The sequence below is a fragment of the Homo sapiens genome, chromosome 8 (assembly GCF_000001405.40).
Source record: "Homo sapiens chromosome 8, GRCh38.p14 Primary Assembly".
NCBI classification, from domain to species: Eukaryota; Metazoa; Chordata; class Mammalia; order Primates; family Hominidae; genus Homo; species Homo sapiens.
In genome coordinates, this window is record NC_000008.11 from 144740023 (window position 1) to 144756292 (window position 16270).

At 45.5% G+C, this 16270-nt stretch overlaps 1 protein-coding gene and 1 long non-coding RNA gene across 8 annotated transcripts in view; one reads left to right on the forward strand and one right to left on the reverse strand.

Moving 5' to 3' along the window:
- Positions 1-15509, reverse strand: part of ZNF251 (zinc finger protein 251) — a 34623-nt gene extending 19114 nt beyond the window's left edge. For 2 of the 6 annotated variants that reach the window (NM_138367.2, XM_005272356.5), the window contains exons 1-4: positions 15383-15509; positions 14674-14781; positions 14170-14299; positions 13661-13774 (exon numbers count right to left, since the gene is read on the reverse strand). In NM_138367.2, coding sequence (NP_612376.1) covers positions 13661-13774; positions 14170-14299; positions 14674-14706 — 277 coding nt within the window. In that variant the 5' untranslated portion in view covers positions 14707-14781; positions 15383-15509. Of the gene's footprint in view, positions 1-11888; positions 12107-13660; positions 13775-14169; positions 14300-14673; positions 15355-15382 lie in introns of those variants that run through there. The other 4 variants (XM_047422403.1, XM_047422404.1, XM_024447324.2 and 1 more) reach the window with 3 other exon arrangements.
- Positions 1-16270, forward strand: part of LOC107986986 (uncharacterized) — a 29711-nt gene that overhangs the window by 4226 nt on the left and 9215 nt on the right. Inside the window, exon 2 of one of the 2 annotated variants that reach the window (XR_001746149.3) lies at positions 9882-9968. This is a non-coding gene — a long non-coding RNA (uncharacterized LOC107986986). The remainder of the gene's footprint in view (positions 1-9881; positions 9969-16270) is intronic. The other variant, XR_001746150.3, reaches the window with a different exon arrangement.

The window sequence follows — 16270 nt, forward strand, 5'->3', positions numbered from 1 at the left end:
CGCCTGTAATCCCAGCACTTTGGGAGGCCGAGGCGGGCAGATCACCTGAGGTCCGGAGTTCGAGACCAGCCTGACCAACATGGAGAAACCCCGTCTCTACTAAAAATACAAAATTAGCCAGGTGTGGTGGTGCATGCCTGTAATCCCATCTACTCCGGAGGCTGAGGCAGGAGAATGGCTTGAACCCGGGAGGTGGAGGTTGCTGTGAGCCGAGATCGCGCCATTGCACTCTAGCCTGGGCAACAAGAGTGAAACTCCGTCTCAAAAATAATAACAACAGAAAAATACAAACAAGCAAAATGAAGTTTTGTTGTGTTTTAACTTCATTTTCAGGCTGGGCGCAGTGGCTCATGCCCGTAATCCCAGCACTTTGGGAGGCCGAGGTGGGTGGATCACCTGAGGTCAGGAGTTCGAGACCACCCTGGCCAACATGGTGAAACCCTGTCTCTACTAAAAATACAAAATTAGCAGGGTATGGTGGCAAGCACCTGTAATCCCAGCTACTTGGGAGGCTGAGGCAGGAGAATCACTTGAACCTGGGAGGCAGAAGTTGCACTGAGCCAAGATGGCACCACTGCACTCCAGCCTGGGCAACAAAACAAGACTAAATCTCAAAAAAAAATAAAAATAGGCCACCATGGTGGCTCACGCCTGTAATCCCAGCACTTTGGGAGGCTGAGGCGGGCAGATTGCCTAAGCTCAGGAATTCGAGACCAGCCTGACCAACATGGTGAAACCCCATCTCTACTAAAAATACAAAATTAGCTGGGCGTGGTGGCAGGTGCCTGTAATCCCAGCTACTCGGGAGGCTGAGGCAGGAGAATCACTTGAACCTGGGAGGCGCAGGTTGTGATGAGCTGAGATGGCGCCATCGCACTCCGGCCTGGGCAAGAAGAGCGAAACTCCGTCTCAAAAAACAAAAAAAAAGAAACAAAAAAAAACCCCCAAAAATAAATAAATAAAAATAATGAAATAAAACTGCATTTTCAAGGACAACAGGAGGCCCTGGAGGCTGAGTTCCTCGAAGTGCTGCCGAAGGCAATGCCAGAAGGGAACAGTCCCAGTAGCCGGAAGGAGCCACAGAAAAGCAGCATCGCAAACGCAGACGGGCCCGAGGTGGATCTCAAAAGTGTCCAAAAGGAGCTGGCCCAACCCAGGAAAGAACATCTGTGAGTGGGGCCAATACTGACGATGGCAGAGCCCTGGGACAGGCCAACACACAAGCCTCAGAAAGCTCAGTGCCCAGGGCACAGTGGTGACAGCTCGTGGATATGCCAGCAAAATCTAACTTGTGAAGGTACATGCTGGTGACCAGCTGCACAGATGTACACACACACTCATACACACACTCACACACACTCACATGCGTAAACATGTACATACACACGATGCAGATACACATACACCCATACATACAGAATCCACAGTCTCCACTCCAAAATTAACAAACACATAAAGAACCAAGAAAATAGAGCACGTTTTTGTGAGAAAAGGAAATCAACCATCTGACCCTGAAATGAGTCAGATGTTGAAACTAACAGACAAGGATTTAAAAACAGGAATTATAATTATCCTCAGTGAAGTAAAACAAAACAGGAAAATCTCAGGGAGTGAAAACTCTCAGCAGAGACACAGAAATAATAAAAAGGAATAAAACAGTCATTCTGGAACTGAAGAACACAATCTCTGAAATAAAGCATTACTTGACAGACTAACAGCTGAATGGGCACAATAAAGGAAAGAGTAAGTCAACTTGAATCGAGATGAACAGAAATTATCTGAAGAATACAGATAAAAATATTTTAAAAATAATAAACAGCCTTACAAATCTGTTAGATAATTCAAATGGTCACTTATAATTGGTATCTCAGGAGACCAGAGAGAGAATGGTACAGAAAGAAATGTGAAGAAATAATGGTCAAAAATTTCCCAAATTTGATGAAAGACAGAAATCTACAGGATCAAGATGCTATATGAACACCTAGCAGAGTAAAAACCAAGAGGCCGGTGCTGCAGTACATCAGAGTCCACCTGCTGGGAACCGAAACGACAGGCAGCTCACCTCAAAAGCAGGAGAGTGACCCACGACACACCACGAGCCAGTGATCCCATGAATGGCTGACTCCTCATCGAAAGTCAAGGAGGCCAGAAAAGAGTAAAATAGCAGCTTTAAAGTGCTGAATGGGAAAAGGAAAAAAAAAAGCAAAATAAAGGTACTTTCATACACGAGAAAACTAAGAACTGGGGCAGCAGACTCGCACCACGAGAAATGCAAAGGTCTTTGGGCTGAAGGGAAATGGTGCCAGCTAGAAACTCAGATCATCAGAAAGGGATGAAGAGCACTAGAGATGGAAAATCTGGGGAAACATGAGATTTTTTTGAAAATACTTTATTTTTAGAGCATTTCACAGCAATATTAAGCAGAAAACACAGTTCCTGCATACCCCACCCCCCACACACCTCCCCCACTACTTACCTCCCGCAACAGTGATAACAGCGTCACAATGAATGAACCCACACTGACACATCATGACCATCTAAAATCTCAGTTTAGGGCTCACTCGTGGTGCCGCGTGATCTATGGGTTTTGCATCCACCACTGCAGTACTGTACAGACTAGTGTCACCGCCCTAAAAATCCTCTGGCTTCACCCTGCTTCTCTACTCCTTGGCACTGCTGATCTTTTTGCTGTCTCTATAGTGTTGCCTCATCCAGAATGTCACATAGTTGGAATCATACAGTATAGGTGTCCGTTGGTAAACAAAGGGGATTGGGTCCGAGACCCCCACGTATACCCAAATCCATGCATACTCAAGTTCCACAGCTGGCCTTTCAGAATCCACTTATATGAAGCCAGCCCTCTGGACATGGGTTTCACATGTGTTTGGTTGAAAAAAATCCACATATAAGTGGACCTGGGAAGTTCAAACCCATGTTGTTCAAAGGCCAACTGTATCATCTTTTCAGACTAACTGCTTTCACTTGGTAATGTGCACTTAAGGTTCCTCTATGTCTTTTCATAGCTTCGTAGCTCATTTATTTTTATTTATTTTATTTTTGAGACGCAGTTTCACTGTTTCGCCCAGGCTGGAGTGCAGTGGCACCATCTGGGCTCACTGCAAACTCCGCCTCCCGGGTTCAAGTGATTCTCCTGCCTCAGCCTCCTGAGTAGCTGGGATTACAGGCACCAACCACCATGCCTGGCTGATTTTTGTATTTTTAGTAGAGACAGAGTTTCATCATGTTGGCCAGGCTCGTCTCGAACTGCTGACCTCAAGTGATCCACCCGCCTTGGCCTCCCAAAGTGCTGGGGTTACAGGCATGAAGCACCGTGCCCGGCCAATCATTTCCTTTTAGCCCTGAATATGATCCCATTCTCTGGATGTGCCACTGGTTTATTTACCCGCTTATCTACTGAGGAACGTCTCAGTTGCTTCCGACTTTTGGTAATTATGAAATTATGAATAAGGTTTGGTAATTATGAATAAGGCTGCCGTAAATATCTGTGTGCAGGATTTTGTGTGGACATAAATTTTCAATTCATTTGGGTAAATACAAAGGGACAAAACTGCTGGATCACATGGTAAAGGTATGTTTAGTTTTGTAAGACTGTCGAACTGTCTTCCAGAGTGACCACCGTTTTGCATCCCCACCTGCAATGAATCAGAGTTCCTGTTCCACATCTTGGCCAGCACTGGGGGTTATCAGTGGTGTGGATTTTGGCCATTCTAATAGGTGTGCAGTGGAATCTCACTGTTTTAATGTGCAGTTCCTTAGAGATATGACATTGATCTTCTCACAATGCCCACCTGTCATCTGGGTATCTCCTTCCATTCGGAGCCTATTCAGGCCTTTCGCCCATTTTTTAAAATGGGCTGTTCATTTTCTTACTGAGTTTTTTGTGTATTTTGGATAATGGTCATTTATATGTGCCTTTTACAAATATCTTCTCCCAATCTATGGACTGTTTCTCATTCTCTCGTTGTCTTTTTTTTTTTTTTTTTTTTTGGAGATGGAGTCTCACTCTGTCACCCAGGCTGGAGTGCAGTGGCTCAGTCTCGGCTCACTGCAACCTCTGCCTCCCGGGTTCAGGCGATTCTCCTGCCTCAGCCTCTGGAGTAGCTGGAATTACAGGTGCCACCACACACCCAGCTGGTTTTTGTATTTTTAGTAGAGATGGGGTTTCACCATGTTGGCCAGGCTGGTCTCGAACTCCTGACCTCGGGTGATCTGCCTGCCTCGGCCTCCCAAAGTTGATGCCGTCTTTTACAGAGCAGAAGTTTTTCATTTTAATGAAGTCCAGCTTGTCAATTGTTTCTTCCATGGATTGTGCCTTTGGTGTTGTACCTAAAAACTCATTGTCAAACCAAGGTCACCTCTTTTTTTCCTATATTATCATCTAGAAGTTTCACAGTTTTGTGGTTTACATTTAGATGTATGATCCATTTTGCCATGGAATGAAATGTGTCCTGCTCACCCCAAATTCACATGTTGAAGCCTCAATGTGATGACGTTTGGAGATGGGGTCTTTGAGAGGTCATTCGAGTTAGATGAGGTCATGAGGGTCGTCATGGCAGAATTAGTGCTCTTATAAGAAGAGATACCAGAGAACTTGCACTTTCTCTCTCCACCATGTGAGGACACAGTGAGAAGGCAGTCATCTGTAACCTAGAAAGAGACCCCTCACCAGAAACTAACCATGCTAACACACTGATCTCGGACGTGTAGCCTCCAGAACTGTAAGAAAATAAGGCCGGGCGCAGTGGCTCATGTCTGTAATCCCAGCACTTTGGGAAGCCGAGGCGGGCGGATCACCTGAGGTCAGCAGTTCGAGACCAGCATGGCCAACATGGCAAAACCCCATCTCTACTAAAAGTACAAAAACCAGCTGGGCGTGGTGGCGGGCGCCTGTAATCCCAGCTACTAGGGAGGCTGAGGCAGGAGAATCACTTGAACCCAGGAGGTGGAGGTTGCAGTGAGCAGAGATTGTGCTACAGCACCCCAGCCTGGGTGACCAGAACGAGACTCCATATGGAGGGGGACGGGGAGCGGGAGGGGAAGGGGAGCGGAGGAAAGTTACTGTTTTAAGCACTCAGCTTGTGGTTTTAAGTCTGAGCAGAATAAGACACATTTTAAGTTAATTTTTTGTGATGGGTGTCTAGATTCTTTTTTTTTTTTTTTTTTTGGCACGTGGATGTTCAGTTATTCCAGCACCATTTCTTGAAAAGATCATCCTTTCTACATTGAGGTGTGTTTGTTCCCTTGTCAAAGATCAGTTGCATATGTTTATGCAGGTTTTTATCTGGGCTCTCTGTTCTGTTTCATTGATCTATTTTTTCTGTTTTTTGACCAATACCACACTGCCTTGATTACTGTGGCTTTATAGTAAAAGTACTGAAATTGGGTACTATGGGTCCTCCAACCTTGCTCTTCTCTTTCAATATTGAGTTGACTATTCTGGGTCTTTTACCTCTCCTTATAAACATTACAATCAGTTTGCTAATATCCACAGAATAACCTGCTGAGTTTTTTTCGTTTTTTAGAGACAGGGTCTTGCTCTGTCAGCCAGGCTGGAATACAGTGGCATGATCATAACTTACTGAAACCTCAGACTCCTAGGCTCAAGCAGTCCTCCCACCTCAGCCTCCCAAATAGCTGGGAATATAGGCACATGCCACCAGGCCTAGCTAACAAAAAAAATTTTTTTGTAGATATGGGGTCTCACTATGTTGCCTAGGCTGGTCTTAAACTCCTGGGCTTAAGCGATCCTCCTGCCTTAGCCTCCCAAAGTGCTGGATTATAGGCATAAACCACCACACTTAGCCCCTGAGACTGTGATTGAGATTGTGTTGAATCTGTAAATCAAGCAGAGGACTGACATCATGATAATACTGAGTTTTCCTCATGAACAGACTATCTCTTCATTTATTTAGCTCTTCTTTGATATATTTTTATCAGTCTTGTATTTTTCCTCACAGATTTTGTACATATTTTGTTAGACTTACACCTCAGTATTTTATCTTTAGTGGTGCTAATGTAAATAATGTGTTTTTAACTTCAAATTCCACTTCTTCGTTGCCAGTATAAAGGAAAATGTAGATTTTCTGTAGATGCTCTCTATCAACTTGAGGAAGTTCCTCTCTATTCCTAGTTTGTTGAATTTGTAATCATGAATCGAGGTTGGATTTTGTCAAATGCTTTCTCCGCATCTACTGATATGACCACATGATCTTTCTTCAGCCTGTTGATGTGGTACATCACATTACATTAATTTATTTCCTAATGTTGGACCAGCCTTGTAAACCTGGGACAAATCCCACTTGGTCATGGTATATAATTCTTTTTATACATTGTTGGATTTGATTTGCTAATATTTTGTTGGGATTTTTGCATTTATGTTCATAAGAGGTGTCTGTCTGTAGTTTCCTTTTCTTGTAATGTCTGTTTGGTTTTGGCATTTGGGTGGATAACACTGACCTCATATGAGTTAGGAAGTATTCCCTCTGTTTTTATTTTCTGGAAGAGATTATAGAGAACTGGTATAATTTCTTCCTTAAATGTTTGGTAGAAGTCATAAGTGAACCCATCTGAGCCCAGTGGATTCTATTTTGGAAGGTAATTGTTGATTTGACTTATTTAACAGACATAGCCCTATTCAGATTGTCTATTTCTTCCCGTGTTTGGGAGATTGTGTACTTCAAGGAATTGGTTCATTTATCAAATTTGGGCACAGAGTTGTTCATCTTTTTTTTTTTATTACCCTTTAAAAGTCTGTGGGACATCTCTGTAGTGATGTTCCCTCTTTCATTTGATATTAGTATTTTGTGTCCTCTCTCTTCTTTGTCTTAGTCTGGCTAAAGGTTTACTGATTTTATTGTTTTTTCAAACCATCTTCTGGTTTCGTTGATTTTCTCTATTGATTTCCTGTTTTCCATTTCATTGATTTCTGCTTGAATTTTTATTTCTTTTCTTCTGCTTACTTTGTATTTAATTTGCTCTTCTTTTTCTAGTTTCCTAGAGTGAAAGCTTACATTATGATTTTAGATCTTTCCCATTTTCTAATACATGCAGTCAATGCTATAAATTTCCCTCTAAGCACTGCATTCACAGCATTCCACAAATTTTGGTAAGTTTTATTTTCATTTTCACTTAATTCAAAATATTCTAAAATTTATCTTGAGATATCTTCTTTGACTCGTGTTATTTGGAAGTGTGTTATTTGCCAAGTACTTTAGGATTTTCTAGCTATCTTTCTGGTTTCATTTCTAGTTTCATGTCATTGTGGTCTGAGAATAGACATTCTATGTTTTCTATTCTTCAAGTATGTTAAAGTGTTTTGTGGCCCAGAATGTGGTCTATCTTAGTGAATGTTCCACATGAGCTTGGCAGGAATGTGCATTCTGCTATCGTTGGATGAAGCAGTCTACAGATGTAAATTATTCCCAGCTGACTGATGTGATGGTGCTGTTAAACTCAACTGCATCCTGCTGGATCTGTCCATTTACGATAGAGGGTGCTGGATCTCCAACTGCAGACAGTGAACTCATCTATTTCCCCTTGTAGTTCTATCAGTTTTCGCATCACATATTTTGTTGTTGTTGTTTTTTGAGACGGAGTCTCGCTCTGTTGCCCAGGCTGGAGTGCGATGGCGCGAATCTCGGCTGACTGCAACCTCTGCCTCCTGGGTTCAAGCAATTCTCCTGCCTCAGCCTCCCGAGTAGCTGAGATTACAGGCATGAGCCACCACGCCCGGCTAATTTTGTATTTTTAGTAGAGATGGGGTTTCTCCATGTTGGTCAGGCTGGTCTCGAACTCCTGACCTCAGGTGATCCACCCGCCTCGGCCTCCCAAAGTGCTGGGATTACAGGCGTGAGCCACCGTGTCCAGCTGGTTTTGTGGTTTTTAGAGATAGTGTCTCACTCAGTTGCCCAGCCTGGAGCGCAGTGACGTGATCATAGCTCACCGCAGCTTCAATGTCCTGGGCTCAAGCGATCTGCCCTTCCTGGCCTTCCAGAGTGCTGGGATTACAGGCATGACTACCACACTTGACAACCTCACTTTTTTTTTTTGAGATGGAGTCTCACTCTGTCGCCCAGGCTGCAGTGCAATGGTGCAATCTTGGCTCACTGCAACCTCCATCTCCCAGGTTCAAGTGATTCTCCTGTCTTAGTCTCTTGAGTAGGGGGGATTACAGGTGCACTCCACCATGCCTGGCTAATTTTTGTGTTTTTAGTAGAGATGGGGTTTCATCATGTTGGCCAGGCTAGTCTTGAACTCCTGACCTCAAGTTATCTGCCCGCCTCGGCCTCCCAGTGCTGGGATTACAGGTGTTAGCCACTGTGCCTGGCCAACCTCACATATTTTGATGCTGTTGTTAGGCCCATACACCTCAAGATCTGTTATGTTTTGTGTCTAAAGTAGTAAGATATTTCCGCTTTCTTTGGATTACTATCTTTCTCCATCCCTTTTGTGTTTTTATGTTTAAAGTGGGCTTCTTTTCTTTTTTTTTGTTCATGGCAAGATCTTGTCATGAGACAGCAGGTTTCTTTTTTCTTTGCAATGGGGTCTTGCTCTGTTGCCCAGGCTGCAGAGCAGTGGTGCAATCACAGCTCACTACAACCTCAACTTCCTGGGCTCAAGCGATCCTACCACATCAGCCTCTTGAGTAGCTGAGACTTATAGGTACACAACACCACACCAAGCTAATTTTTTTAACTTTTTGATGAGATGATTTCTCACTATGTTGTTTAGGCTGGTCTCAAACTCCCAGGCTCAAGGGATCCTCCCACCTCGGCCTCCCAAAGTGCTGGAATTACAGGAGCCATCACTCCTGGCCGAAGCAGGTTCCTTATAGAAAACACAGTTGGGGCCAGGCACTGTGGCCTGTAATACCAGTGCTTTAGGAGGCCAAAGCAGGAGGACTGCTTGAGGCTCAAGAGTTTGAGACCAACCTGGGCAAAATAGTGAGACCTGATCTCTACAAAAATAAAAAAAGAGCTGGATGTGGTGACATGCACCTGTAGTCCCAGCTGCCCGGGATGCTGATGTGGGAGGATCGCTTGAGCCCAGGGGGTCAAGGCTGCCATGAGTCATGATCAAGCTACTGCACTCTAGTCTGAGCAATAGAGTGAGACCCCATCTCTAAAAATATAAATAAATAACTTTTTAAAAAGGGGATTATTGGCTGGGTACAGTGGCTCATTCCTGTAATCCCAGCACTTTGGGAGGCCAAGGTGGGTGGATGTCTTGAGACCAGGAGGTCAAGACCAGCCTGGACAATATGGTGAAACCCTGTCTGTACAAAACACAAAAATCAGCCAGGTGTGGTAGTACATGCCTGTAGTCCCAGCTACTTGGGAGGCTGTGGTGGGAGGATCACTCGAGCCTGGGAGGTCAAAGCTTTCAATAGACTGGGACTGTGCCACTGCACTCCACCCTGGGGGACAGAGTGAGACTGTCTCAAAAAAATAAAAAAAAAATTTAAAAAGGTGATTACTGATGTTGCTGAATTAACATCTACCACATTTGTTACCATTTTCTACTTTTTGCCCTTGTTCTTCATTCCTATTTCTGTTTTCCATACTCTTCTACCTTTTGTGGGTTTACCTGAGCATTCTATTATATGTAATTCCATTTTGTATCCTTTTTTAGCATATCAACTATACTTCTTTTTTAACTTTTTAAATTGGTTTGCAATCTGCATTTACAGCTAATACAAGTCCACTTTCAAATAACAATCTCTTGGAGGCCGTGTACCATCCACTAACGAGCCTGTCAAAGGCACTGTTCCTTTCGGTTATGGTGTTTTTGGTCTCTAGTATTTAAAAAATTCTTAAAATTTCTTTTTCTTTTCTTTTTTTTCTTTTTTTTTTTTTTTTAAGAAAGATGATCTCGCTATGCTGCCTAGGCTGGCCTTGAACTCCTGGGCTCAAGCAATCCTGCTACACTATGAGGAGTTGCAAATACAGGTATGTGCCACCACATCCAGCTTCTTAAAATTTTAATCTCTTTTGCTTACATTATCAATCTGTTTTTGCATACTGTCTACTTTTTCCCTTAAAGCCCTCAGCACGTTAATCATAGTTTTAAAAAAATACCTGGTCTGATTACTCCAACACTCCTGCCACGACTGACTCTGGTTCTAATGCTTGTTCAGTCTCTTCAAACTGCATTTTCTGCCTTTTAAGTATGCTTTGTAATTTTCTGTTGATAGGTAGACATGATACACTGGGTAAAAGGAATTGCAGTAAACAGGGCTTTCATCCTGTTTTCAGGTGTTGGGGTGGGAAAGTGTTCTATGATACTATGAGCAGGGCTCAGTCTTGCTGAGCTTGTGTCCCTGGACTATGAACTTCCCAAGTGCTTTTCAGCTTCCCCCACCTGCCATTAGGTGGGACAGAATATCCAGAAGTAGCTAGTGTTAGGTATTTCCCTTCCCCCAGGAAGGTTAAGTTCTGATAAAAACACCAGCAGGTTAGGCCCTGGTAAAATTGTTTCTCCTGAGGGCAGGTCTTGTTAAGAACAGAATGGTATATTCCAAAGTGGTCCCTTTTCACTTCCTCCTGCCAGAAGCACAAGGAGATTTTTCTCTGATATTCACTGTCAGTACCTAATAGAGCTCCTGGAGGTAAAGCTCACAAAAGTATGGGGTCCTCCCATGACCGGGTCCCCCTGGAGTTTTTTTTCAGAGTTGTCCACACTGAGCCTCTAGCAATTTGCCAGTTACATTTTAGGCTTACCCATCTGGCCACCGGTTCCCTGGGAGATTATTGCTCACAAGATGTGGTTGTGATTCTTTGTATCTGCCTGTTTATCTCTCCAGAGTTTTTTTTTTTTCTTTTTTTTTTTTTAGAGTCTCGCTCTGTCACTCAGGCTGGAGTGCAGTAGTGCAATCTTGGCTCACTGCAACCTTTACCTCCTGAGTTTCAGCGATTCTCCTGCCTCAGCCTCCCGAGTAGCTGGGATTACAGGAACCCACCACCACGCCCAGCTAATTTTGTGTTTTTAATAGAGACAGGGTTTCACCATGTTGGCCAGGCTGGTCTTGAACTCCTGGCCTCAACTGATCCACCTGCCTCGGCCTCCCAAAGTGCTGGGATTACAGGTGTGAGCCACCGCACCCGGCCATACCTCTCCAATTTTGAGAGCAGTGATTTGTCCTCTGACCTCACACCTCTCTGATGGAGCTAAGATTTGTTGATTTTTCAGTTTGTTCAGCTTTTTACTTGTTAGGACACAGTGATGACTTCTAAAGTCCTTACATGTCAGAAACAGCTAAAATACTATTTATTTGGCCTTTTTCCTTTTCCTTTTTTATAAACTATATAACTGTTTAAAACTGAAATTATCACATTGTCTTTCTGAGTTTAAAATGTTATGTAGATGTATTACACATAACAACTATAACAAAAAGGATGGGAGGGATGGTTACAAGATTTCTGGATTTATGTGAAGTAGTACACAAATGAACTGTAAGTAAACTGTGGAAACTTATGTATACTGTAAACCTTAGGAAAATCACTGTAAAAAATAATGCAAAAAGATTATGTAAAAAGCAAATAATAAAATTTAAATGGAGTTATAAAAAGTATTCAAATAACCCAAATAAAGGCCGGAAAGAGGAATTTAAAAAACAGAAGAGGTAAATGTAAGTAAAAAATAAAATATTATGCACAAGTGCATTCCTGAACCATATAAACAATTACATTAAACATTAACAGACTAAACACTACAATTAAAAGACAAAGATTGTTAGGATGAAGAAACAAGACCCAATTGTATGATATCTGCAAGAGATTCACTTTAAGTGTAAAGACAGGTTGAAATTAAATGGATGAAAGAAGATATACTATGCTAACAGTAAGTATAAGAAGGATGGAATTGCTACATTAATATTAGATAAAATATATTTCAAAACAAAATGTATTACCAGAGACAAACAGGAATTCTCTTATCTCTCATAATGATAGTCATAAGTGAAGTAAGTCTTATAATACAGCTTCAAGATACATGAAGCCAACACTACAAAAATTAAAGTGAAGAAAAGACAATTCCACAATCATACTTCTGTATTTTAACACCCCTCTCTCAGCAACTGAAAGAATAACTAGACCAAAAAAAAAAAAAAAAAAAAAATCAGCAAGGATACAGAAGACCTGAACAATACCATCAACCACCTTGACTTAACTGATATTTATCTAACCCCCAAATGGCAGAATACACATTCTTTTTCAGTGCACGTGGTATTTGTACTGGGAGAGACCACATTTGGGGTCATAAAACAAGAAGCAACAAATATGAAAGGAATGAAATAATACAGAGTATGTTCTCTGACCACAGTGGAATTAAATGACAATAACAATAAGATAACTAGGAAAACACCAACTATCTGGAAATTAATGCATGTCCAAATAATCATTGGGTCAAAGAAGAAGTCACAAGAAAAACTAGATAACATTTTGAACTAAATGTTAATGAAAATACAACATATTAAAATTTTGTGAGATGCAACTTAAGCTGCACTTTGAGAAAACGATATAATTTTACAATCTTAGCTCTTACATGTAGAAACCAAATGCTTTATTCAACCAATTTTGAATGTGCACAAATATGGGGTATATTTTTCACGAGCCTTTCTGAATAAACTAGAAGACAAGCTCCAGCCAACCAAGAGATGGGGAAATTTTTGGTAAAAGGACCAGAGATAAACAATTATTAATAACATACTTAACTGGAGATATAAGCCAGTAACAAAGCTGCGGATATGAGTTGTAAAGTGTTATATGTTCTGACAGTGTAGAAACAATATAACCAACAAAAACTGGGAAAGGAATGAGGAGGAAAAGGGAGAAAAGTAGAACAAGCTTGTTGACTGTCTCAGTAGCTGGCAGTCAAAGATAATACTTACAGCTGACATATCAAGTAGTAGATGTATATTCAATAGAACAAAGGTAAACATTAAAAAAAGCCACTGGTCAGGTGCAGTGGCTCATGCTTGTAATCTCAGCACTTTGGGAGGTCGACATGGATCACTTGATCTCAAGAATTTAAGACCAGTTTGGGCAACGTGGTGAAACCTTGTCTCAACAAAAATAAAAAAAAAACTAGCCAGGTATGGTGACATGTGCCTGTAGTCCTAGCTACTTGGAAAGCTGAGGTGGGAGGATTGCCTGAGCCTGGTACGTGGAGGTTGCAGTGAGCCGAGATCGTGCCACTGCACTCCAGCCTGGTGACAGAGTGAGATTCTGTCTCGAAAAAAAAAAAAAAAAAAAAAAAAAGACTACTACTGACTAAACTTGGCAAATGAAGGAGAGAATGGAGTGAAGAATAAAAAGGACATGGTAGGGTACCGATATCTATTGTCAAAAGGAAATAAGTGTATTATAAAGAAGGGAATGAAGTTGTTATCAAGGTAAATCACCAAAACAAAAATATGATCAGAAGTAGTATATATATATTTTTAAAGCAAAGAAACAGACCAGCAAGATAAAACTTCTAAAGCATGTGCACATGCTCACATTTGTAGAGGGGCTGTATCTGTGAGACTGCCCCTGGGGGAGGCCATTAATATGAACGCCATGCCCCAGCTGTCCCTCGCTTGGAGCCTCTTAAGGCAGGATTGGGAGGCTGCTCCCAGGATTAGCATCCCATCCATTCTCACCTTTCTGGCAGCTTTTCAAGATATCTGGTTCCTCAGCTCCCAGAAGATTCAGGACCCAAAGTTCCTTCCCCTGCTCCAGCTGGGAGATCAACTCCGGCTTAGGGACAGGGAATCCTGTTGAGGATGAGGACACTGGTGAGCTGGCATGGCCCACTGGGCCTTCCAGGCCAGGTGTGGAGAGATGGGCCCTGTGTGCACGTGTGTACGCCTGCACGTGTGTTGGTCAGGGGGCCCGTGGGCTGAGACTAAGTACTGAAGGAGAATCCACTCATCAGCTCTCCTGCCACTGGAGGGACACCAGTGGGGCCACTGGCAACAGGGAGTGAAGTCCCTAGAACTGGGGAGCAAGGCAGGCTTTTCCCATGGGAAATGTTCCTTCTGTAGAGATCAGACTGATACCCGGGGACAAGGGGCAGGACCCTCTTCTTTGGGATCCAAAGAGCCAAAGCAGCCTCCCAAGCTCCTCAGAGGCCCCCACTGCGAACCAGGCCAAGTGCAGAGAGCCTCACCCAGAGAGGCCACGTTCCCATAGTTCTCCAGCATCACATCCCGGTAGAGCGCCCGCTGCTGGGGGCCCAGCTGCCGCCCCTCCGCCTGAGAGAAGTACACGGCCACATCCTGGAAGGTCAGCGGCATCTCCTGCAACAAAACATCGCCGCTGCCCAGGCCATGCCCACGGGGCAGCAGCCTGCACTAAAAGGGCCCTGACCTGGTGGGGCCCCACTACCCAGGGCCCTGCTGTGGTCAGTATGAACTGTGTATCAGCAGGTCCCTGATGGGGCAGCTGAGAGCGCTGAGGACCAGCCAACTTCAGCTACACGGGGACCCAGCTGAGCTCAGAGCCCCTCTCCCTGCAGGAGGGCGAGTCTACCTCTCAGAACCCTTTCCTCACGGTTGCTATGAGCCCCTGGCTGGCCTTACCAGTTGCCGGGCTCACGGCTCCAGAGGAGAGTAGCTTCTGACTGGGATGGGGATGAAGATGAAGAGGTGGGCAGGAAGGAGGGTTAACTCACCTGGTGCCCTGGAAGCTGGAATGTGGCTGCCATTCTGTGTGCATGGGCTGCTGTGGTTTCCAAGAGAAGACAGGAGACTGCCCTGGCCTGAAGTCTCCCCGAACTTACCTTCAGTGGGGAGAACTCAGGCTCAGCCCCATTCAACCAGGGGTGTGGAAGGATGGCCAGGAGGCAGAAGCTGATTGCTGCTGTGGCCTCCTGGGTCGCGGGAGGCAGGTCACTATGCAGCACGGGCCGACGTGCCCTACTGCTCAGTGACTCCTGAAATCCCAGAACGGCCAGAGCCAGAGCCCGGGGGGATCCAGGGACGCCCGGCTAAGGGGTGAAAGCTGGCAGTTCCCGTGGTCCAGACCTGCTGAAGGCCCTGGAAATGGGGTGCAGGGCCGTTCTACCTGCCTGGCCAACCTGGGGCAAAGAGCCACGTGAGGGTGCAGCCTCACCAAGGCTGAGGACGTGAGAAGGAGGCCGCGGGGATGCTGCCGAAGGCCCCAGGCTCCGGGGAGAGGCCGGAAGCCAGCTGTGGTCCTCAGTCCAGCCTTCTAGGGCCGCGCCGCGGTCGCCTCCTCCCGGCCTCTGCAGCCCGTCGGTGGCTCCCGCGGCACCCAGAACAGGCTCCTCCTGGACTGGCCGCCGCCTCCCCGCGCCCTCCCCGCGCCCTCCCCGCCTGCCTGCCCGCTTGGCGCTCCTTCCTGGTCCGACACTGCCCCACCTGTTTGCTCGACCCGGGGAAGCCACCGAGGAAGCGCCGAGGAGCTGCGCAGTCGCACCGAGCCCGGAACGGACCCTCCCACAGAACCGGGTCCAGAGCCGGGGAGGGGGCGGGCTAGGATGAAGAGGGCGGGCCGGGCCGAGCTGCGCACACGCAGGCTTCCCCGCCCCCTGCGGGGCCTCAGTACGCCTCCGAGAACGCCGGGAACCGGAAGCCAGCCGCGGTTCCGCCCGGATTCTTCCGGGGCCGCTCTGGGATGACTGGAGGCCTGCGCCGTCTATGGTCGGGGAGGGGGAGAGCCCACGGCAGCTGAGCGGAGGGTCTGGCGCGGTGACGCTGCGCATCCGGGCCGCGCCGCGCTCGCCCCGACCCTAAACCCTCACCTGAACCCTAACCCCGCTGGGCTCCCGGCTCCCCCGTCGGTCACCATACATCGTGTGTCCCGATTCACCATAACCACCAGAAAGTCGCTTATGAAGATGTTACAATTATCGGGGCTCAGAACACAACGCCCCAAAATGAAGGCCTGGGAGGCAGTTTCCCTCTGACCTTCCCAGGCCTCCAGTCTCAGTTCTTTTCTCCCGCGAGGCTCCTCACAGAGTGAATCCCTTTTACCCAAGGCGAGTCCCAGAGGCCAGACCCCCAAAGCCAGCCACAAAACCTAAAAACACGACTCTGATGTTCCCCCCGCTTTTCTGTGTGAAAACTGGCGGTAAAGGCCGGGCGTGGTGGCGGGCGTCTGTAGTCCCAGCTACTCCGGAGGCTGAGGCGGGAGAATCGCTTGAACCCGGGAGGCGGAGGTTGCAGTGAGCCGAGATCGCGCCACTGCACTCCAGCCTGGGTGACAGAGCGAGACTCCATCTCAAAAATAAATAATAAATAAATAAA